The 23648-nt window shown below is 52.6% G+C and overlaps 1 protein-coding gene across 53 annotated transcripts in view, besides 3 other annotated features; it reads left to right on the top strand.

Moving 5' to 3' along the window:
- The window catches only part of ARHGAP27 (Rho GTPase activating protein 27), a 38963-nt gene extending 28073 nt beyond the window's left edge, over positions 1–10890 (top strand). For 10 of the 53 annotated variants that reach the window (NR_169602.1, XM_047435547.1, NM_001385384.1 and 7 more), the window contains 13 exons: positions 117–197; positions 270–353; positions 702–769; positions 1089–1179; positions 1980–2084; positions 6751–6849; positions 7774–7882; positions 8008–8130; positions 8213–8311; positions 8514–8591; positions 8681–8815; positions 8949–9054; positions 9165–10890. Coding sequence is in view for 32 of the 53 variants with exons in the window: in XM_047435547.1 (XP_047291503.1) it covers positions 117–197; positions 270–353; positions 702–769; positions 1089–1179; positions 1980–2084; positions 6751–6849; positions 7774–7882; positions 8008–8130; positions 8213–8311; positions 8514–8591; positions 8681–8815; positions 8949–9054; positions 9165–9342 (1356 nt within the window). In the remaining 21 variants the exon portion in view is untranslated. Of the gene's footprint in view, positions 1–116; positions 198–269; positions 354–463; positions 530–701; positions 770–1088; positions 1180–1979; positions 2085–3129; positions 3453–6750; positions 6850–7349; positions 7883–8007; positions 8131–8212; positions 8312–8513; positions 8592–8680; positions 8833–8948; positions 9055–9164 lie in introns of those variants that run through there. The other 43 variants (NM_001282290.2, XM_047435543.1, NM_001385397.1 and 40 more) reach the window with 29 other exon arrangements.
- Positions 8889–9046: a silencer, noted in NCBI's record as "fragment chr17:43473118-43473275 (GRCh37/hg19 assembly coordinates)". NCBI's record gives its function as "represses an EF-1alpha promoter that drives an FKBP-Casp9 reporter gene in an ReSE screen in HepG2 liver carcinoma cells {active_cell/tissue: HepG2}" and the evidence as "EXISTENCE:reporter gene assay evidence [ECO:0000049][PMID:32094911]".
- Positions 9678–10337: an enhancer, noted in NCBI's record as "H3K4me1 hESC enhancer chr17:43471827-43472486 (GRCh37/hg19 assembly coordinates)". NCBI's record gives its function as "activates a minimal SCP1, AML or CMV promoter by ChIP-STARR-seq in primed H9 embryonic stem cells {active_cell/tissue: H9 hESC(primed)}" and the evidence as "EXISTENCE:reporter gene assay evidence [ECO:0000049][PMID:30033119]".
- Positions 18952–19919: an enhancer, noted in NCBI's record as "H3K27ac-H3K4me1 hESC enhancer chr17:43462245-43463212 (GRCh37/hg19 assembly coordinates)". NCBI's record gives its function as "activates a minimal SCP1, AML or CMV promoter by ChIP-STARR-seq in naive H9 embryonic stem cells {active_cell/tissue: H9 hESC(naive)}" and the evidence as "EXISTENCE:reporter gene assay evidence [ECO:0000049][PMID:30033119]".

The following is a 23648-nucleotide window of genomic DNA, read 5'->3' as shown; positions in this document are numbered from 1 at the left end:
CACCTGCACCTGCCCCTCCAGACTCCCTGGTGCTGTCTTGGAACCTGGTTAGAGGGAAACTTTTCCTCCCCTCTCATAAGCTGGGCTGGAGGCCCTGACCATTCCTCTCCCCACAGTGGGTGAGGCTGGAGGACCCCCACGGGAAGCCATACTTCTACAATCCAGAGGACTCCTCTGTTCGATGGGAGCTGCCCCAGGTAACAACCTGGGGAAAGGGGGGTGTTGGGGAGAGAGGAAGAGATCATATACGACTGTGTCTTTCTCCCCAGGTCCCTGTCCCTGCCCCTCGAAGCATCCATAAATCCAGCCAGGATGGTGACACCCCAGCCCAGGCCAGCCCTCCAGAGGAGAAGGTAGGGGAGGAGCCATTGAGGTCCTGGCAGGACCACCACAGAAGCAGTGGGGGGCTTCTGGAGTTCCTGGGAGGAGGGACTTGGTGGGATCTATCTGTCTTCCCCCATAGGTCCCAGCAGAGCTGGATGAGGTTGGGAGCTGGGAGGAAGTCTCTCCTGCCACAGCTGCTGTGAGGGTAGGCATCACCCCCTACCCCCAGCCAGGTGGTGGTGCTGGCGAGGAGGGTTCAGTGGAGACACGGGCCCAGACCATAGAGAGTGGCAGCTGAGCAGGTGACCAGCCTCTACTCCCCATAGCTCACCCCTTAACTACACACTCTTGCGCCTGCTCTCTCTTCTCTCTCTTAGACCAAGACCTTGGACAAGGCAGGGGTGCTCCATCGCACCAAGACGGCAGACAAGGGAAAGCGGCTCCGGTGAGAGCCCATCTACACTCAGGCCGGGGCAGGGTGGGCCTTGGTGACGATGTTCACTGAGCACTTCCTGTATGCCAGGCTCTTATTAATCCTCACAACAACTTCGTGAGTGGTCCTCTGTGGACCCTGAGACACTGTGAGATAAAGTGACTTGCTCAAGGTCCCTCGGCTGCTAGGTGTTAGAGTCGGGATTCCAGCCCTCATAATGGGGTGCCCTAGCCTGTGTTCCTAAGCTCTGACTTGTTCCTGGGGTAGGAGGGGCCCTCAGCCCAGGACCAAATCTAAGTCCTGCCACCCCCACTTCCCCACCCCCACCTAGGAAGAAGCACTGGAGTGCCTCCTGGACTGTGCTGGAGGGTGGCGTCCTGACATTCTTCAAGGACTCAAAGACCTCGGCTGCAGGCGGCCTGGTAAGGCCAGGCCCTCAGGGCAGGGACCATCCCATCTGCTTTTTTTTATTTTTATTTTTATTTTTTTTGAGACGGAGTCTCGCTCTGTCACCCAGGCTGGAGTGTAGTGGTGTAATCTCGGCTCACTGCAACCTCTCCCTCCTGAGTGCTCCTGCCTCAGCCTCTCGAGTAGCTAGGACTACAGGCATGTGCCACCATGTGCGGCTAATTTTTGTGTTTTTAGTAGAGATAGGGTTTTACTATGTTGGCCAGACTGGTCTTGGACTCTTGACCTCAGGTGATCCGCCCACCTCGACCTCCTCAAGTGCTGAGATTACAGGCGTGAGCCACTGTGCCCAGCCCCCATCTGCTCTATCTAATCTGGCTTGGAGATGACCAGGTCTGAGAGAGTGGTCCATGAGTGTCAGAGGAGCTGGGCCTTGGCAGGAAGGGGGTGATACTGGCAGATTCACTCCAAGACAAGTAGTTTTAGCCCACTGGAGATGGGGAACAGTCTTGAGGGTGGCCAGCTCCAGCCTGGAGGGCAGGGAGGCTGGGGGTGGGCACACCTGCTTGCAGGGATGCAGACTGCACTCCTTTCCTGTCCTCCCCTGGGTGGGTGGGCAGCAGTGGACATGCCAGCCAGCAGGCTCCATGGTTAAGAAGCATCAGGGTCTCTGGGTTCAGGAACACTTGGGGCACTTTTCCCCAGAGTTGTTTCCTGGCCATGCCAGTGACCCCATCCTATTCCTAGGGTCAGAGTGCCACAGCAGACACATCTGAACTGAGGGCTCCCTGTGACCTTCCTCCCTCTCCCACAGAGGCAGCCTTCCAAGTTTTCCACCCCTGAGTACACAGTGGAGCTGAGGGGGGCCACTCTCTCCTGGGCCCCCAAAGACAAATCCAGTAGGAAGAATGTGCTGGAGGTGAGTGGCGGGGTTGGGGAGAAGGAGGGAAGGGGCTTAGTGATGCCTGCCAGCTCTCTGACAACTATTGACCTGGAAATGACCTGGGGGTTTTTGACCCTTAATTCCCTATGAGCCAACACTGAGTGCAGCTTTTGGCTGTATTAATAGAGGTAGGAACCCAGAGCCAGAGAGGTGATATTGGTGCAGTTGTTGGCAGTGCTGTGGGACCCTTACTGTAGGCAAGCCCCAAGAAGGAGGACCTGGGAAGAATTGGGGCTACCATTCTCAGGGCTCAAGGCCAACGCTGCACCCCCGCCCCAGGGGACCTGTCCTTTGTTTCTAACATCACATATTCTGCAGTTCCCTCTCCAGGAGCTGAGTTAATAATAATCCTTGCCCTGGAGGGTGGTGAGGAGTAGGGCCTCTGGGAGAGGAAATTCTCATGACTAGAATGGCAGCCCTCGTCCCAGCCTGAGAGAGACAGGAGGCTCCCTGTCCCTGGCTGCTTACTGTGACAGGCCTGGTTGGGAAACCTCTTTCTCCCCAGGTCCCTTTCCCTGCCCCTGAGCCAGAGCCCCATTTCCGACTGGACCGCATCCCCAGTGAATAAACTGGGGCAGTGGAGAAGACTACCATGCTACCCCCGCAGGAAGGGAGAGAAGACCCAGAAAGGGTACTCCCAATGCCACACCCTTCACTGTCCATGTGTTGTCTTGTTTTTAAACTACTCTTACCCTGACCTCAGTACCTAGAAGGTTTGAGGCAGATCACAACAGAAACACACGTGGTGAACTGTCAAATTAACTGAAAAGCCAGGACCATGAAAAACAAGTAAGAGATGGGACTCAAGATGGAGAGGAATTAGGGGGCAGATGATGTATGGGTGCTAAGGTGGTGGTTACTGAAGAAAATTTAGCTCCGACTTTCCTGCTAGGTGAGGTGAAAAGAGAAGGGCTATCAGGTGCATGTCTCTTTGTTGTTGAACAAATAATAAAACCCACCCAGATGTTGAGGGAATCAAAGCTTTTTCCTAACCCTTCACTCTTAAATTTCTTGTATGTAGCTCCATGAACATGGGATCTAGAAGCACATGCCAGGTACCCTGCAAAACAGCTCCAGGAAGGTTTAATTCAGGATCCGGGACTGCTTCAGGTAGCATCATTATGATGAAGGCCAAGAGCATGACCTCATGTCTAAGCTCAGAAAAAACAGTTCTGCAAGGAACCTGAGAGTGTAGTTTCCTGATTATTCACCAAGCTCCATTCAGTTCTAGAGCCAGGATATCTATAAAGCAAAGTTGGAAAACTGGTTTCATCTCATGAGCTACTCTGATGAGTAGGTCTGGAGTCTTGTGGGGTTTTGTTTTTGTTTTTATTTTTTGTTTCTGTTTTTAGAGACAAGGTCTTGCTCTGTTGCCCAGGCTGAAGTGCAGTGGCACGGTCAGAGCTCACTGAAACCACAAGCCCCTGGGCTCAAGCGATCTTCCCACCTAAGGCTTCCGAGTAGCTAGGACTACAGGCGCGTTCCATCACATCTGGCTAATTTTAGTTTTTATAGAGATGGGGGCTCACTATGTTGCCCAGGCAGGTCTCAAACTCATGGCCTCAAGTGATCCTCCAGCCTTGGCCTCCCAAAGGGTTGAGATTACAGGTGTGAGCCACTGTGCCTAGCCTGGAGCCTTCTTGAGAAGAATTCTGAAGGCTTCTCTGGGCTTGGCAGGATAGAGTTCTGTGATCAACTAACAATATCTGCTATGGTGTTAAATTGAGGAGAGACATCACTATTATGATTATGATTATGATTATGATTATGATTATTATCCAGAGTCTCACTCTGTTGCCCAGGCTGAAGTGCAGTGGTGCAATCTTGGCTCACTGCAACCTCTGCCTCTCGGATTCAAGTGAGTCTCCTGCCTCAGCGTCCCGAGTAGCTGGGACTACAGGCGCCTGCCACCATACCCGGCTAATTTTTTTGTATTTAGTAAAGACAGGGTTTTACCATGTTGGCCAGGATGGTCTCAATCTACTGGCCTCAGGTGATTTACCTGCCTTGGCCTCCCAAAGTGCTGGGATTACAGGTGTGAGCCACCATGCCCGGTCTGAGACATCACCTGTGCTAGTCATGTTTCTCCCCTGACTTTGAGGGATAGGTATATCCTTCAAACAGTTCTCAATGAAGATCATCACTGATGGACTTTTGATGAAAGTTTCAGAATAGGGCTTTTTGAGTTGTCTTTGCTGGCAAGGACTGGAAGGCAGGTGCTGCTCAGGCCAGTGGGAAGGTGGGCAGGCCTGAATGGAAATCACAAGCCCCTGCCTCCTGGTTGACTGCTGGCCATCCTCCCTCCATGCAGGGCGGCCTGTAGGCAGCTCCAGGGTTTTCCTCAAGAGACAGCCCCAAATTTTATATCATTGAGGATGGATGGCTTTGTTGGGCCCAGGAAATTTTCACAGCAGGTCTTTCTAGTCACCCCGAGTTACAGAAAACTTCAGCAACAGTCCGCCAAAAGCTGCTAGCATTTGCCTGTGCGGTCAGCAGGATAAATGTTTTGTTTATTTGTTTGTTCTTAGAGATAGGGTCTTACTGTGTTGCCCAGGCTGGAGTGCAGTGGCTTGATCGTAGCTCACTGCAGCTTCCAACTCCTGGACTGAAGTGATGCTGTCACTTCAGCCTCCCCAGTAGCTGGAAGTACAGGTGCACACTAGCATGTCTGGCTAATTTGTAAAAATTTTTCTAGATATAGGGTCTCACTATATTGCCCAGGATTGAACTCCTGGTCTCAAGGACTCCTCCCACCTTGCCCTTCCAAAGCACTAGGATTATGGGCATGAGCCGTTGTGCCTGGCTGGGGGTGAATATTTTGTGAAATACATTGCTATGTAATGATACAGCTTTGCCCTCTATATGAAACTTGCAAATATGAACTGATTATGTTTTGAGAGAGCTGCCAAAAATCATGGCTGTTGTTTTAGAAGTGTTGTCAAGCCATTCTCTGGGATAATCTTGAGCAGGGCTCTTGTCTGCTTTGATTAGAGTGAGGCTGTGTTATCTGCCTCTTGAAGGTTCTCTGTCCTTTGCAGGGGAGGGCTAGGGGATGAGATATGCCATTTTCTTTTCTTTTCTTTTCTTTTCTTTTCTTTGAGACAGAGTGTTGCTCTGTTGCCCTGGCTGGAGTGCAGTGGTGCGATCTCGGCTCACTGCAATCTCTGCCTCCCGGGTTCAAGCGATTCTCCTGCCTCAGCCTCCCGAGTAGCTGGGACTACAGGTGCGTGCCACCAGGCCCAGCTAATTTTTTGCATTTTTAGTAGTGGCAGGGTTTCACTGTGTTAGCCAGAATGGTCTCCATCTCCTGACCTCATGATCCACCCGCCTCAGCCTCCCAAAGTGCTGGGATTACAGGCATGAGCCACTGCGCCCAGCCTCATTTCATTTTAAAAAGCAGTTTAAATAGTCTTCAAGTATAAGTTTAAAAGGACAGCAAAGATAGTCCAATCCAATTCTAGAAGTTGTGTCCTGGGGTCTGAGACAGTTTCTGTTGTCTCTGACTCTCGCTGAACCAAAAGGGCAGGGTTGGTGTGAGCTGTTGCCGCCAAACATTCACATTAACCTGGAACACTGGGTCCTCAGAGCCAGAGGCTGATAAGGAATCCAACTAAGCTGCCATCCAACTCAGAAAGGGCTTTGAGCGTCAGTCCTATGGTGGCAAGTTTCCCTCTGGTGTTCTGTTTAATTTATGCTTCATGATGAAGCGGGCTAACAGAAGATGTGTTGCCCAGGCTGGAGTGTGGGAGGTGGTGGGGACTCCTGGCTGCAGAAGGTGGGACAACGTTTCTGAGTCCTCAGTGTGTGTATGGGGAGGGGCAAGGGGAGACCTTTCTTTCCCTGGGATCAGCCATGATCAGCTTTCAAATCCTCTCTCCCTATATTCACTGTTGCTTCTAGTAGACAGGGGTCTCAACATAGGAAGTTTCTGGGTTTTGTTTTGTTTTTTTTTTTTTGAGACGGAGTCTTGCTCTGTCGCCCAGGGTGAAGTGCAGTGGCATGATCTCGGCTCACGGTAACCTCCGCTTCCCGGGTTCAAGCAGTTCTTCTGCCTCAGCTTCCCAAGTAGCTGGGATTACAGGAGCCCGCCACCATGCCTGGCTAATTTTTGTATTTTTAGTAGAGACGGGGTTTCACCATGTTGGCCAGGCTGGTCTCAAACTCCTGACCTCATGATCTGCCCGCCTCGGCCTCCCAAAGTGCTGGGATTACAGGTATGAGCCATCGTGCCTGGCCTCACATAGGAAGTTTCTTTCACTTAGTTTGCAGGCCAGTGCTCTGCATGAGGCCTGCCATGTTCTGTGGCTTGCAGGGAGGCAGGATGGGGGAGGGAAAGTGTACCAGACAATTGAGCCATGCAGCTCTGTGCTCATCACTCACTAGCTGTGTGCCCATGAGGAAGCAGCTAAAACTTGCTGAGCCTCAGTTTGCTCATCTGTAACACAGAGATGCTGTCAGCCACTGCTTTACGTGAGGCAGAGATCCAAGACTTAGCCTGGGGTGAGGCCCTTGCTCCATTAAGCTCTGAGTGCCTGGGGGCAGGGACAGGTCACCTCTATCTCTGTACCTACCCCCAACTAGGGCCAACCCCCAGGGCAGACCCAGGGTACCAGAGATGACCCACTGACTTGTGTCCCTCCAGCTACGGAGCCGAGATGGCTCTGAGTACCTGATCCAGCACGACTCGGAGGCCATCATCAGCACCTGGCATAAGGCCATTGCTCAGGGCATCCAGGAGCTGGTAAGCAGAGCCCAGGGCCTCTAGGGGCAGTGGGGAGGGGGTGGCCATTATGAGTGGGGCCCTCTGCTCAGGCTCAGGGAGCTCTAAGGTACCAGTGGGTAATGCAAATGCAGTCCCCACTAATGGCTAGGATGGCAGGGTAGGCGGCTGAAGAAACTGCCTTCTGTAAGTCTGTGAATCCAGCCCTGGGGTTGGCCCTGCAGGAAGACTCTCCAGGTGAGGGTAGGGCACATTCTAAAGGAAGTTCCCATTTCACGGGAGGCAGAAGGCCAAATAAATACTCTGCAAGCCAACCAATGGCAGGCTGAAACTAGCAGATAAAATTTTAAAGGATTGATTTCAATAGTCGACCATTTTTTTAAGGCTGAAAACACCAATTGCATAAGTAGAGCTAGGACAGGGGCCCTCTGACAACTACTGACCTGGAAATGACCTGGGGCTTTTTGACCCTTAATTCCCTATGAGCCAACATTGAGTGAAGCTTTTGGCTGTATTAATAGAGGTAGGAATCCAGAGCCAGAGAGGTGATATTGGTGCAGTTGTTGGCAGTGCTCCGGCCACAGCTGGAGGTGCAGGCTCAGAACTGGGAGCCACGTATTGAGGAATGCTGACCCAGTTAGAGGAGCTGAGGAAAATAGAGAAAGAAGGCACCAGGTGGGTAGGAGTCCCCAGGATAGGAAGGGGTGTGGGAGAACAGGATGACTGTCTCTGCACCTTAAGGGCTCCATGCAGCTAAGGGAGGTGAATGTTCTCAGGCTCACTGGTGGAGGTAAGGAGAGTTAACCTGGTTAAGGGAAGAGAGGACTCTTCGCTGAGGGTCTCCAGGCCATGCCTGTTGGGAGTGCATTTCGGGTCCCTTGCCCCATCCTGGAAGGACCCGCAGCTGGCTCAAGGCCCCGCCTCTCTGAGGCTATGGGAATCCAGTCCGCAGAGCTGCCCCCAGAGGAGAGCGAGAGCAGCAGAGTGGACTTCGGGTCGAGCGAGCGCTTGGGAAGCTGGCAGGAGAAAGAGGAGGACGCGCGACCGAATGCAGGTGTGCGCAAGGCAGGATGGGGTGGGGGCTCCAGGAGGCCTCTCCTGGGGAGTGACGGTTGCTGGGGCCTGCCTGGCCTGCCCTGGCGCTGCCTCCTGACTCAGTCCTGCCTTTCCCCGCGGCAGCCGCGCCCGCCCTGGGCCCCGTGGGCCTGGAGAGCGACTTGAGCAAGGTCCGGCACAAGCTCCGCAAGTTCCTCCAGAGGCGGCCCACACTGCAGTCGCTGCGGGAGAAGGGCTACATCAAAGGTACCCGAGGCCTGCGGGGGGCGGGGACCCGGGACCGGGACGGGGCGCAGGCTGGGCAGGAGCTGATGAGCCTCTGCCCTAGACCAGGTGTTCGGCTGCGCGCTGGCCGCGCTGTGTGAGCGCGAGAGGAGCCGGGTGCCACGCTTCGTGCAGCAGTGCATCCGCGCCGTCGAGGCCCGCGGTACGTGCGCTGCGGGGGTGAGGGCGGCAGGCATTGGGGTGCCCGCAGGCCTCCTGCCAGGACCGCAGGCTGGAGACCCCTGGATGGACGCAGGGTCCAGGGGGAAAGTACGGGAGGCCCCGAGTGGGAGTCATAGCAGGGACCCGTAGCCCCACCCTATCCCCATCCCTGAACCCGGGATCAGCGCCTCCCTCTGGCCCAGGGCTGGACATCGACGGGCTGTACCGCATCAGTGGAAACCTGGCCACCATCCAGAAGCTACGCTATAAGGTGGACCACGGTGAGGCCCGTCCCCAACCCCTGCCCCAGGGCCTGAAGGCGCAAGGGGTACTGATTTCCCTTCCGTCCTCCTCCCTTCCTCCGCCACAGATGAGCGCCTTGACCTGGATGACGGGCGCTGGGAGGACGTCCACGTTATCACCGGAGCCCTGAAGCTCTTCTTTCGGGAGCTGCCCGAGCCCCTCTTCCCCTTCTCGCACTTCCGCCAGTTCATTGCGGCCATCAGTGAGCACCTGGGGCAGGTGGGGCGGATGGGGTAGGGGCGTGGCGGGGCACCCCTTTAGCAGGCTCCCCTCGCCCAGCCGATACCCCCTACCTCCCGTTCCGACTCCCTCCCTCTAAACCTTCCCTCACCCAGAGTTGCAGGACCAGGCCCGGCGCAGCCGCTGTGTGCGTGACTTGGTGCGCTCGCTGCCCGCTCCCAACCACGACACTCTGCGGATGCTCTTCCAGCACCTCTGCCGGTGAGCCGGGCGGCCCGCGCGGGAAGGGGGAGGCAGGTCCCGGCTGAAGCCCCCAGCGCCTCCCCGCAGTTCGCAGTTCGGAGCCCTGAACCCACCCACCCCTGCCACAGGGTGATCGAGCACGGCGAGCAGAACCGCATGTCGGTGCAGAGCGTGGCCATTGTGTTCGGGCCCACGCTGCTGCGGCCCGAGGTGGAAGAGACCAGCATGCCCATGACCATGGTGTTCCAGAACCAGGTGGTGGAGCTCATCCTGCAGCAGTGCGCGGACATCTTCCCGCCGCACTGACTGCTGGCCTGTGACTGGGGCGGCGGCCGCGGTCCTGCCACACAAGCTGGGCGGCGGAGGCCACGCAGCCGGGCCTTCTTCTCTCTGGGACCCTCCGCCAGCGCATAGCCGCAGGCCGGTGTGACTTCTGCACCCTCGGTTCTGAGGGTACGGTGACCCCTAGTGGGCAGTTTGCAAAATGTGATTCCTTCTTCCCAACTCCCCATCCCCCCTTCCCTTCCCGTCACGTCCTGTTTGGGGGTTAATTCGGTTTTTTCTCTGTTGCATCGCGCCTACTGTGCGTGTGCGATAGCGTGTGTGGGGGTGAGAGTTTGTTTTCTGGAATGGTAGGTGCTGGGAGGAGGAGTTTGATGGAGGGCTTCCTGGCTGCTTCTGGCCCTCACCTCGTGGAGGCCTTCACAGAGACCCTGTGGGCCCTGGCCCTGTGCTGGCACTGTGCCAGTCATGAGGCAGCTCTGATCACTTCCCCACTGTGGAAACAGGACTGACCCAGCCTTCAGTGTGGGCTGCTGAAGCTATCCTCCTCAGGCCTCAGGGATGACCTCCTGCCTGAGCCTCTCACAGGCTGGCTGTGGGCCAGTTTCATCTGCTTTCCTGTTGGGGGTCCCGGGCCTCTGCTGTCCTTGACCCACTGGTGTTCTGTGCAAGGCTTCTTCCCATTCACCAAGTGCACACCTTGCATCTGCCGCTCGGCATGCACCAGTTCCACACACCATCCCATTTTACAGACAAGGACGCTGAGGCCTGCAGCAGCAGTGTGACTTGCTCAAGGTCCAGTGAGTGACCTCATTCCCCAGAAAAGGCTCCTCCCACACCAGAGTACAGCCTGGGTAGGGGGAAAATCAGTTCTTTCAGCTACCACCCATCCAACCTTTGGGCCTATGTGAAAAGAAAGGAACTAAGCTGGGTGTGTTCTGTCTGGACCTGGGGAGGCCCCTGAAGGCAAAGAGGGAAACTGTCCCAGCTGTTCTGTCCTAGGGGAGGGGGACATAGCCCTAGCAGGAGCTCCCAGCCCCTCTTGGCACTCTGACACACAAGTACACCCATCTGGGGCCCGCTTTGCCACGAAGAGCTGGGCAGGCCTGCAGGGTGTGGGGAAGGAGGACACAACCTCAAGAAAGGAAGCGTGAACCCCAGGGAACAGCGGGTCCCTTCCCTCCTCAGACACAAGCCACCTCAGCTTGTGGCTCTTGGCCCCCAGCCCCACCAACCCACCTGTTCATTTATTCAACAGACAATGACAGCTGATATTTATTGGACATTTGCACCATGCCAAGCATTCGGCTTGGATTATCCCATTTGTTTCTCACAGCCGGTATTTATTGTCTGCTCCTCTGTGCCAGGTGCTGTGCTCTGGGCAGGGGCACTGCATGGGCTGCCTGCCCTGGTGGAGCTTGTGGTCTGATGGGTGAGGCTGACCCAAGCCCACCCCATTGCCAACAGGGCCAGGGCAAGAGTACACACAGGGGCCTCATACCATATGTCTAAATATTTAAAAGTTATCAATCAAGCTAACAACTGTTAAATAAAATATGTTCTATTCTCCTACTTTGACAAATGTGTCTTGATAATGACCTGGAAGGCCAGGTTCTAATTTAAACTTCTTTGACTTTTCCAAGTTCCATGCCCAAATGTGGTGGCCGGAGAAGGGCAGGCCCTGGGCTCAGCCTTCCCTCTCATCTTCCCTCCCACAGAGCCCTCCTCCCCCAAGCAGAGGCTCACGGGCACATATGTGGACATCGTAGTCCATGTGTGCCAACTGCCCATACCCCCTGCAGCCAGCTGCCGCTTGGCTACCCCACTGGTGACGTAGTCCACCCTTGAGGGAATGGGCTTGGAGCTATTTGGGCGGGGCATGCTGGGGCCCCATGTATCAGAAGCATGTTCTAAAGGGCAGGTCCAGGCTTCAAGAGGGCTCCCCAGATTCCTCACCCTGTGGGGAGAGCCACAGACACAGGAGCCTTCTCCTGCAAGAGGACCCATGGCAGGGACCCCTCTCATTTGAGTCCAAGGGTGAAACTAGATAGACAGTAAGCAGATAATTACTTGGTTATCACATTTGTACAAGAGCTAGCAGAAGTGTAGAGTGCTCGGAAGGTGTGTCATGGGGTGTGAATGTTGCCCAGGGACCTGAGATGCTTCTGCAGAAGCCACATTTGAGAGAAGCAGTAAAGAATGAAGAGGAGTCGAGCAGAGGGGTTAAGGGAAGGGTGCTAGTCAGTGGGAGTGGCATGTGTAAAGGCTCTGGGGCAGGAAAGCTTGTGGGGAGAACAAAATCTGAGAGAAGACCATTGTAACTGGAGCCCAGAAAACCAGGGAGCATGGGTATGAGGTGAGGCTGGAGAGCTGTAAGGGACAGAGCATGTGGGGCCTTAAGGCCAAGGACATTGGGTCCCCAAGACAAGGAGCTGAAAGGCAGGGAGATCTTGGAAAGGTGTCCGCTCACCATCTCCTTCACCACCCCAGGCTTCTGACCCTGCCAAGGCCTCAGTGGGCAAATAATACAGCAGCAGGCAGAGAGGTCCTAGAATTATCACATTTTTGTCATGAAGGGGAGCTTCAGAAATCACCTACCACCAATGAGGAAACCTCTAGAGAGAACATCATAAATCACCTGCAGCCACATGGCAGGTTGGTGGCAGAACCTGGCCCAGAGCTTCATTTGCACAGTCTAGGGACCTACCGTGCCCCTCACCAGAAGTCCGAGGCTCAGTCATACGTCCCCAGCCCTGAGCACATGCATGGTGAGCACTGTAGGTGTGCATCGAATAGGTTTGGAATGAATTGGATTGTTCTGAAACACAAAGAATGTAGAAGTGGTGTCTTCCCTCTTGAAGCTCCGTCTGGATGGGGAGAGCTATAAAAAGGAGCGACAGTGGCACAGCTGATAAGGGCTGCCACGGGGATCTCTCCCCAAGCCCACTGCCTCTCAGCAGATGCCCTTAAGTCCTCCTGCAGCCTATAGTCTGCCCCTGAAGCTACTCTCAGAAAGGCCATGGTGCCCACTTGGTTGCTAAGTCTGGGGACGTGCCCAATCCTGTGCAAGTAAACACATGGACTGTCTGTTGTCCTTCTTGAGACATGGACTGTCTGTTCCTTTGCCTGCAGCAACATGGGGTTTCCTTTTTCTTTTTCTTTCTTTTTTTTTTTTTTTTGTTTGAGACAAGGTCTCACTCTGTTGCCCAGGCTGGAGTGCAGTGGTGCGATCATAGCTCACTGCAGCCCCAACCTCCCAGGCTCAAACCATCCTCTTGCCTCAGCCTCTCAAGCAGCTGGAACCACAGGCACACACCACCATGCCTGACTTTTTGTAGAGATGGGATCTCACTGTGTTACTCAGGCTGGTCTCAAACTCCTGGCCTCCAGTGATCCTCCTGCCTCAGCCTCCCAAGGCACTGAGATTACAGTATGAGTCACTGTGCCTGGCTTACATGAGTCTTCTCTACCACTCCACCCCTCCCTTCTCAGCTCCCTGTGTGCTCTGCTTGCCCTATACATGGTGATGCCCCCACTCCCAGATTGTGCCCTTGGCCCGCTTCTCTCTCCCTTCCACCATCCGTCATCCATTCCACCCTGCAGACTCAGCCACCAAGCCTGCACTGGTGTCACCCAAATCTCTAGCACCAGCTTGGAGTGCTCTCTCGCGAGTCATGTGCAAAATCTACCTGCTCAGGAGACACTTCCATGTGGATGGCTGCCAGACACCCAAAGTGCAACCCATCTGCAACAAAGCTCAAACCACCCCTGCTCCCTGTCTCTGAGCATGGCAGCCCCAGTCCCCAGAGTCCCAATCTTCTACTCCTAAATATGTCCCATCCTCCATCAGTCTCCCTCATCTGGGTGATCACAGCAGCCTCTGAATGGGTGCTCTCCTCCCCATTTAATCCTCCACCCAGCAGCCACCCCTCCCACCTATGCATACCAGCTGTGCCCACGCTGCCCCGGGACACTCCAGGTTGCTTCTTGCCTCGATACTTTTGGGCCAACAGTCTTCCTGCCTCCTTCCCTTTCCCCTGGCCAGTTCCTCCTCCTCCTCCCCCAAGCCTCAGCTCACACCTGCCCCCTACACCCTCCTCAGATCTCATGCGTGTGTCTCTCTCATCACACTTAGCTCACTGGATATGATTGTGCTTCCGTGGCCAGGCCTTCCCACTGGGCTGTGGGCTCACAGAAGTTTGCAAGTTTTATCCAGGTCATAGCCTGCATCATTACCTCATTCCTTTTTATTGTATTTATTGTATTTATTTATTTATTTTTGAGACAGAGTCTCACTCTGTCACCCAGGCTGGAGTGCAGTGGTGCAATCTTAGTTCACTGCAACCTCCACCTCCCAAGCTCAAGCAATCTTTCCATCTCAGCCTCCCAAGTAGCTGGGACTATAGGCGTGTACCACCACACTTAACTTTTGTATTGTTTGTAGAGACAAGGTCTTACCATGTTGCCCAGGCTGGTCCCGGACTGCTGAGCGCAAACAATCCTCCGGCCTCTGCCTCTCAAAGTGCTGAGATTAGAGGCGTGAGCCACCACACCTGGCCCTCATTCTTTTTTATTGTCAAATAACGTTCCATTGTATGGATACATCACATTTTGTTTATCCATGTGTCAATTGATGGACATTTGGGTTGTTTCCACTTTTTTTTTTTTTTTTTTTCCTGAGACAGAGTCTCACTCTGTCTCCCAGGCTGAAGTGCAGAGGCATGATCTTGGCTCACTGCAACCTCCACCTACCAGGTTCAAGCAATTATCTGCCTCAGCCTCCCGAGTAGCTGGGATTACAGGCGCCCGCCACCACACCCGACTAATTTTTTTTTTTTTTTTGTATTTTTAGTATCGATGGGGTTTCACCATCTTGGCCAGGCTGGTCTTGAACTCCTGACTCCGTGATCCACCTGCCTTGGCCTTCCAAAGTGCTGGGATTACAGATGTGAGCCACTGCACCCAGCCGGGTTTTTTCCACTTTTTGGCTAATATGAATAATGCTGCCATGAACACTCACGTACAAGTTTTTCTGTGGACATATCATTTCGGTCAGCTAGGGCTACCATAACAAAATACCATAGACTGGGTGGCTAAAACAACAGAAGATTTATTTCTCACAGTTTTGGAGGCTGGAAGTTCGAGTAAGGGGCCGGTACAGTCAGGTTCTGATAAGGGCTCTCTTCCCAGCTTGCGGACAGCCACCTTCTCACTATGTCCTTAAGTGGCACAAAGAGAGCGAGCTCCAGTCACTTCCATTTATTACAAGGACACTAATCTCACCTTTATGGTCTCACATGAACCTAATCACCTGCCAAAGGCCCCACCTCGATGCCATCACATTGAGGGTTAGGGCTTCAACATATTAATGGGGTGGGAGGCACAAACACTCAGTCTATGACTCATGTTTTATTAATTATTTTCCAGGAGTTTGCTGGATTAAATTGCTGGAATAAAAGGTAACTCTACCTTTAACCTTTTGAGGAACCATCAAATTGTTTTCTATAGCTGCACAATCTCCCACCAGCTATGTTTGAGGGTTTCTGTTCCCTCTCGCCTTCTGCAACAATTGTTTTGGGTCTTCATTCCCTCCAACCCCTGGCCCTCCCAGCCTTCCCTCTCTCAACAGGTGACCCACCTCCACCTCCCGGAATGGTGGACACACTTAACATCCCATCACAAAGCTCAGCCCTCCCTCACCACGGCCTCACTGGCCTCCTTTCCTCGGTACCTCAGAGCAGACATTTCTCCAGGGTACAGCTCATCTGTTTTTTCAGGAAATATCCATGATCACTGGCCCCTCTTCTTGCTATTTAGCTGCTGTCTCAGGTTGAATGTCCCAGGAAACAGAGACGTTGGCAGGGGGCTTGCTGGGCGTGATCTCGGGACCAATGCCTGAGGGGTGGAGCCAGCAGGAGTGGCTGAGGGAGAAGCTGAGCTGGGGCACAGCCCCTTCTAAGGCCTCAGCCACCCCATGGGAAGCCCTGGAGCTGGGACAGCCTCAGTCTTGTGTCCCATTATGGCCAGGGGGCCAGGCCACTGGATATGGGCTGCCTTGTAAGGTGGGAGAAGGGAGGGCATGGATTTGGGCAGAGCAGCTCTCTTCAGCCCAGGACACATCCTGGAGAGAGGCTCAGATGAGTGCTATTGGCTGCTGACCCTCCCTGTCCTTTGGGAAATCATCGCTCAGTGCTGGAAGAGGGCATCTGAGCAGCACCCATGGTATCCACTGCATCATACTGGCCACTTCCCCTTGCCACGGGAACACGCTGAAGTGCCTCTCTCTGAAACCCCCTACAACCCCACGTCTCTCTGCAGCTGCCACCATCCTCCTCCTCCTCCCCTTTGCAGCCAAACTTCTCAGAAGTCATCTAAACTCACGGTATCCATCCGCTTCTCTTGTTCGCTTCTCAACCCCACCCCCCGCCCACATCACACCACTGAGTTTCTTCCCCTAAACTCACTGATGATTTCCCATTGATAGCTGCTGGATATTTGGGGGTCTGTGTATTAATTGCCTTTTTAGTGGCACCCTATCCTCTGCTGACCACCCCATTCTTGGAAATGTTCCCTTTCTCTTGGCTTGCAGATTCCCCTCATTTTCCTCCCACCTCGGGCCATGTGTCTCATTCTCTGCTGCACAGCCAGTACAAGCAGAGTCCTTGGGGTCCACCCCTCCTCTGCTGTCCTCCCTCCCTGGATGAGACTGGCTACACCCACAGCATCAGTGACTCACTGATCCATAGTGCCTGGCCTGACTGCTCTCTAAGCTCCCAATCCTGGTGTCCTCTGACAACCTGACATCTGCTCTGGGACGGTCCTCAGCCCAAGACTGGATTTGTGATTTTCCCCAAACCTTGTACTCCTCCAGGGTTTTACCTGTCCCAGGCAAAGGGTCCATCATCCCCCGAGTCAGGTGAGCCAGAAACCTGGGAATGTGGCCTGCTCCCTCCATCTCATCTGTCTCTCCTGCCTCCATGCCCGATCTGTATCTGTTAGTCCTTCCTGTCTGATCCACCCCTCTCCATCACTAGGGCCCCTTCCTGGTCTAAGGGGTTAATATCTCCGGCCTGGACCCTGCAGCAGCTCCCAGCCCCCTTCCCCATCCCGCGTCCTCATTGCCCCCACTGCATCCAGCCTCATTTCAAAACACATGTCTGATTAAGTTATCACCCTGCCTAAAAACCTTTCCTCTCATCTAAGGAAAAGACCAAGCTTCAGCATGGCCTGCCTTCTCTCGTGAACCAGTGTGAGGCAGTGGCTCAGAGCATGGGCTCTGGAGTCAGGCTCCCTGGATTCAAATGTGAGCTCCACATTGCCCTTGCCAGATGCTTCTGGATAACTGACTCATTCCTTTGTGCCCCAGTTTTTTCACCTGGAGAATGGGGATGCAATAGCAGCAGGTGGTTGTGAAGATGCCATGAGACAATACTCACAAGGCTCTGAGAACACAGTCTGGCTGCAGTGAACACTTGCTCGGTCCTGTGCCTTACATGCTCTTTGGTTTCTGGACTGCAGCTACACTGGCCTCCCATCGATTTCACAAATGTTTCACACTCCCTCTGCCCCAGGACCTTTGCATGTGCTGTGTTCTCTTTGTAGTTCTCTTCTCCCTTTACTTAGTCATCTTTTAGCACTGTGCTCAGGTAACTTCCTTGGGCAGCTCCTTCCAATGCCCAGCTAGGTCAGCGTTGTTTGCTACACATCATCAAAGACCCATATGCTTCTCTTATCTAAATTTGTCATTTTACCCTCATATATCATGATTATTTATTGCTGTCTGGACTTCCCTGCCATGATACTATAAGCCCAGAATGGTGGGGACTCTGTCGTTGCTCACCATCGTATGCACAGTGCCTGGCACATAAAAGGTGTTTAAGAGGCCACGTGCGGTGGCTCATGCCTGTAATCCCAGCACTTTGGGAGGCCGAGGCAGGCGGATCACGAGGTCAGGACATCGAGACCATCCTGGCTAACACGGTGAAACCCTGTCTCTATAAAAATACAAAAAATTAGCTGGGCATGGTGGCAGGCGCCTGTAGTTCTAGCTACTCGGGAGGCTGAGGCAGGAGAATGGCGTGAACCCAGGAGGCGGAGCTTGCAGAGAGCCAAAATCGCACCACTGCACTCCAGCCTGGGCGGCAGAGCAAGACTCCGTCAAAAAAAAAAAAAAAAAGGTGTTTAAAAGATACCCATTAATGAGCTGATACACGAAAAGGAAGACAGCTGGAGTTCAATCCCTAGCTCTGCCATTTCCTATAAAGTGATCTTGGGCAAGTGGTTCACTTCAGTGTGCTCATCTGTAAAGTTAGGAATTCACGCCTACCTCAGAAACTTCTCACCATTATAAAATGACATGTGCAACACGCACGGCCCAGCACCTGGTGGTGGAACATTTGCACCTGGAACATTTGCAAAGTCTTGATAGTCTTTGTTCCTCAGGCCCAAGGATAGTCCTGGGTCCTGGGGTGAGACAGCCTCTGCGGTGGGACAAGACGTGGAAGGGCTGTAGAGGAGCCCCTGGGGTGCAGCCAGATCGCCTGGTGGACAGTAGAGCACATTGAGCCAGTGACTCTTTGGTTTTCAGAGCACTGGAGCCGTCCTTTTTCAAGTCTTCAGTCCAGCAGTGTTGTAGGGAAAGGTACTTTTGTCTGGCTTGGGCAAGAGCATCAGAAGCAGATGACTGTCTCCTCAGGCCAGTACAGGAGGGGACCCACTGGTATCAACAAGAGAGGCCCTGCCGGGTAGAACTGGAGCTGTGAGTGAGGTACAGCCCCCTGTGTCCTCCAAGAGTGGATATTCTTGTTTCGTTGCCAGTCTCAGAGCAGGGCTTGGTATATTAAGAGAGATGGCAAATGTCATTCCAGAAGAAAGGGCCAGCCCATGAAGGGCTCTGTGCCCTGCTGGGAGAATGGACTTCATCCTTTATGGCCCAGTGGGTGCCACTAGGTGATGACCAGGTGGACAATATGGCCAGAGATGCTTTTCCGTTTTTATAAACTTTTTATTTTGAAAGAATTATTGACTTACAAGAAGTTACATAAATAGTACAGACAGGCCTGGTGCAGCCAGCACCTGGCTTCCCCTGGTGGTGCCGTCTTACGTAACCATTGTGCCTTATCAAAACCAGGAAAGCGATGTAACTAACTATAGACCTTGCTTGATTTCACCATTCTTTGCATGCACTCATTTTTGTTTGTCTTTGTGTATAATTCCATGACATTTTATCACATGCATAGATTCATGTATAGCCAGCACTGCAGCAACCAAGATACAGAATGTTCCATCATCTCAAAAGAAACTTCTTATGCTTCCCTTTCCACTGACATCCTCCCGCTCCTTCCCTAATCCCTGGCAACCTTGTCTTTATCCATCTCTATAATTTGCTTCTTTTGAGAATGTTAATGGATGGAAATATACAGTATGCAACCTTGCAAGGCTGGCTTTTTGCACTCTGCATAATGCCCTTAGGATCCATTCAAGTCATTGTTGGGTATCAATAGTTCATTACTTGTTACTCCTGAGTGGTATCCTACAAATATGCTTTTAAAGAGATTTTCCCAGCTGTGGCTGAAGGAGGGAGGGAGGGGACCAATTAGGAAGCTGCTGGTGTTCAAGGAAATATCACAAGACTTCCGTCCTGGCCCAGGCCCCACACCACCTCTCTGCAGCCTGGAATTGGCCCTAGAAGTGTTCAGGCTGGACCTCACTTCAGACAGGGTTGAAGCGTGAGGGCTTGGGAGTCTTGAAGCTGAACTGCCAGTAGGGGGCGCCAGAGGCCTTTTGCCCAAGGGGCGATTCCGAGGCGGGAACAGCAGGGAGTGTTAGAGGGAGTTTTGGGCTGCTATGCATGGGGCCAAGAGAATCCTGAAGTCTTCGCCCTCTCTTGACCCCAGCCCCCATGTTTCCGGCCAATCCTGAGCTTCGAGGCTGGGGGATGAGGCTGATGACATGTAGTCGAGGAGAAGGTGAGGTGAGGCTTGGACCAGGAAGAGGAGGTCTGGGGTCAGGCAGAGGGAGGTCCCTGTGGGCCTGGGGTTCCCCATCAGAGGGCGGATCTGGGCTCAGGCCACCGGGCCGGGCATTGGCACCTCTGCCTCACCCATCCTTCCCATCCTCAGCAACCAAGGATTCTCCCAAGAGAAGTCTCCCCAGACCCTGGAGCGTGTGCTAGCCCCTCTTTGCTCCCACGCTCTATACCTGGCTCTTGCCTCCCTGCAAGATGCCTTTCCAGATGCCCCACCGCCCCCCACTCAGTGCCTTACCCAGCATGCTGTGGGCTGCGTGGATCCCGCACTTGTGCAGGGCGCAGAGTGGGCGCTTACTGAGCTCTGGCACCTGCTAAGTGCTGAGGAGCCAGGAAGAGGTGCTCTGTCCCCAGTATCCCAGGGGCCTTGGCATTCAGCCGCCTCTGACTCCTGTCTGCTTGGTGGAACATTCCTGAGCAGCAGGTACTCTCCTCAAAACCCGCACGGGTCCTCCATGCCCTTCAGAGCTCAGCTCACTCTCCCTGTGCGATCTTTGCCCCGTCCTCGGCTCCTTGTCCTCTGGCTGACTCTCTCCGCTCTCACGCCAATGCCCAGCCTCCCGGGATGCCTCTGCTGTCCGTGCAAGCCATGTGGGTCTCGCCGCCACGCCCTCGCCCCCATTCTCTGCCTCCTGCCCCACCACCACGAAGCCTTCCCCAGGGCCTTGCATATATCAGGCTTAAAAAATGTGAGCCCCCATCATCTGTGCCCCCACAATGCATGGGCATGTGGACTTCGTAATAGAATCTCCTTCATGTGGCCTGGTCTCGTCACTGGCACACAACACACCTGTCACCTCCAGAGGCTTCTCATTCATTTCTGATCACCCAGAGCTTGGCACACAGAAGGGGTCAAGTGAAGTTAGATTGAATAAATGCATGAATGTGCCAGTTGTCATATCTTTGAAGCCTCCTCCTGTGACTGGTTGCCCCTCTGATTGCTCCTTGGTGGTTTTCCTTGTGGGCACTCGTTCCCCTGTGGCCTGTAAATGCTGGCAGGCCGCCCTCTCCTCTGCTCAGCTCACTCTGCCCCCTCCCTAGGCAAGCTCACCCATCCAGCCAGCTGTAACTGCTGCCCTTCTGCTGCCAGGCCCCAAATCCATTCCACAGCCTGGAGCCCTGAGCCCCAGGCATACCTCCCACCACTTCCTCTTTATTTGCTTGTCTTTATCTGTCCTTCCCCCATCTGTCTTTCCCACAAACGTTAAGCTCCATTACAGCAGGAATTTTGTCTGTCTGATGGACAGCTGCATGCCTGGTGCCAGCACATGTTCGGTAAATATGAATGAATGAATGAACGAATGAATGAATGAATGAATGAATCTCCCTCTGAGGTCATGTAAACACTTCCAATTCAATGTATCCCAGATTGATTTTGTCATCTCCTCTCTCCCCATAATTTCCTTCTCCTGTCTTTGCTACCTCTCTCCTCCCAGTCCCCCAGTTTAGAAATCCCAGTGTTGGCTGGGCACGGTGGCTCACGCCTGTAATCCCAGCACTTTGGGAGGCCGAGGCAGGTGGATCATGAGGTCAGGAGATCGAGACCATCCTGGCTAACACGATGAAACCCCGTCTCTACTAAAAATACAAAAAATTAGCCGGGAGTGGTGGCGGGCACCTGTAGTCCCAGCTACTCAGGAGGTTGAGGCAGGAGAATGGTGTGAACCTGGGAGGTGGAGCTTGCAGTGAGCGGAGATCGTGCCACTGCACTCCAGCCTGGGTGACAGAGTGAGACTCCAACTCAAAAAAAAAAAAAAAAAAAGAAATCCCAGTGTCACTTAACACATCAACCCATCAACCAGTCACTGCTTTCCCAGATTCTACCTCCAATCTTTCCCACCCCACGCCACCCCAGCCCCTGGCTCACTCCTGGCTTAGACCCTCCCCGTTTGCCACCTGGATCTCCTCAACTGCTCCTCCCTCAGGCTCCCCTCCTCCGCCTTTGCTTCTGTGCTCATTGCCACTTGATTTCTCTAAAACACCACTCTTATTATGTCAACCCCTGCTTACCAACCTCATTGCATCCACATCCCATACAGTTGTGTTTCCCTAAGTGGAGGACTCACAAAGTGAGTGGCATATGGCATGATTCTAGGAGGTTCAAGGACCCCCATACCATGTACCAAAGGTGCACTGCAGTGATCTTTAGTAGTTGCAAAATGAGGAACTTGTTTCTTCTCTAACTCTGTCCAGCCTTTTGAGTACACCAAGGAGAGTCTCCCTGTTATCCTTCACATCTGTTTTTCTCTTGCTAATCTCTCGTTTTTGCAGGGATCAGGATCCCAGCCACAGCCACCAGCAGCAAGATATCAAGCTAGAATGGAAAGATAACATGGTCTTAATTTTATTTATTTTACAGTTACCTACTATATGTGACATGTGATATTGGGTCTTTAGTTATGGTAGTAATGTTCCATAAAATAAATTTATTTGGGAGACAATATTGCAAATTGCATATCTATCAAAGAAATAACATCCCAAATATATCAAGAACTCTTGGCGGGGTGCGGTGGCTCAGCACTTTGGGAGGCTGAGGCTGATGGATCACTTGAGGCCAGGAGTTCGAGACTAGGCTGGCCAACATGGCAAAACCTGTCTCTACTAAAAATGCAAAAATTAGCTGGGCATGGTGGTGTACGCCTGTAATTCCAGCTACTCAGGAAGCTGAGGCATGAGAATCACTTGAGCCCAGGAGGCGAAGGTTGCAGTGAGCCAAGATTGCACCACTGTACTCCAGCCTGGGTGACAGAGTGAAACCCTGTCTCAAAAAAAAAAAACAAAAAAAAACTCTTACTTATCAATTTAAAAAATCAATAGAAATAAAAATGGGCAAAGGCCTTAAAACTTAACAAAAGAGGATATGTGAGTGGCCAATAAACATGAAAAGTGATCAATTTCATTAGTCTCAGAGATATGCAAAACCACAGCATGATATCACTATACACCCACAGGGCTAAAGCGAAAAAGACAGTATCGAATGTTGGCAGGGGTGTGGAACAATTGGAAGTCTGATTTACTTCCAGTGAAGATATAAACTGTAACAACTACGTTGGAAACTGGCCATATCTGCTGAAGCTAAACATATCTACACTACCCTATGACCCAGGAATTCAATGCCTAGGTATAATTCCAGCAGAAATGAGTACATGGCATTTACCAAAGTCATGCACAAGCATGTTCATAGCAGCTTTATTCATCACAGCCAAAAATGAAAAATAACCTGTATGTTCATCAGTAGAATGGGTAACGTGGTATATTCACATAATAGAATTCTGTATCAAGTGAAAATGAATTAAGCCACACAAATGCTGAGCAAAAGAAGCCAGGCACAAAAAAGAGCAGTTGTTATGGTTCCATTTATATAAAACTCAAAAGCAGGCAAAATTAATCTATGCTGTTAAAGCTTGGAGAGTGGTTACCCTGTGGAGTTGTTCATTGGAGGGGGCTGCTGAAGACTCATAATATTCTGTTTTGGACCTGGGTGAAAAATTATTGTGTTCTTACACAAATGAAAAGTGATTGATTTGTGTACTCTTTCATATGTACATTATGCATCAATAAAAAATTATTTAAATTTTTTTTTGAGACAGAGTCTTTCTCTGTGGCCCAGGCTGGAGTGCAGTGGTGCTATCACAGCTCACTGCAGCCTTGACCTCCTGAGTTCAGGCGATCCTCGACCTCCTGAGCTCAGGTGATCCTCCTGGCTCAGCCTCCTATGTAGCTGGGACCAGAGGTGCACATCACCACACCCGGCAAATTATTTGATTCTGTGTAGAGACAGGAGTCTCACTTTGTTGCCCAGGCTGGTCTTGAACTCCTGGCCTCAAGTGATCCTCCCGCCTCGGCCTCCCAAATTTCTGGGTTTGCCACGGTGGTAAGCCACCGTGATCAACCAAAATTACTTAAATTTTGGGTTTTTGTTTGTTTGCTTTTTGTTTTTTAACGTGAAACATTTAAAGACAAACATTAAGAAAATGATGCCGGGCGTGGTGGCTCACGCCTGTAATCTCAGCACTCTGGAAGGCCAAGGCAGGCGGATCATCCGAGGTCAGGAGTTCAAGACCAGGCTGCCCAACATGGAGAAACCCTGTCTCTATTAAAAATACAAAAAAAATAGCCAGGCGTGGTGGCAGGTGCCTATAATCCCAGCTACTTGAGAGGTTGAGGCAGGAGAATCGCTTGAAACAGCAAGGCGGAGGTTGCAGTGAGCCGAGATTGCGTCACTGCACTCCAGCCCGGAGCAACAAGAATGAAACTCCGTCTCAAAACAAAAAAAAAGAAAGAAAGAAAATGAAAGTTCTAG

Source organism: Homo sapiens, chromosome 17 (assembly GCF_000001405.40).
Source record: "Homo sapiens chromosome 17, GRCh38.p14 Primary Assembly".
NCBI lineage: Eukaryota > Metazoa > Chordata > Mammalia > Primates > Hominidae > Homo > Homo sapiens.
The sequence above is the reverse complement of the archived record's forward strand: the minus strand, read 5'-3'. Positions and strand labels throughout refer to the sequence as shown.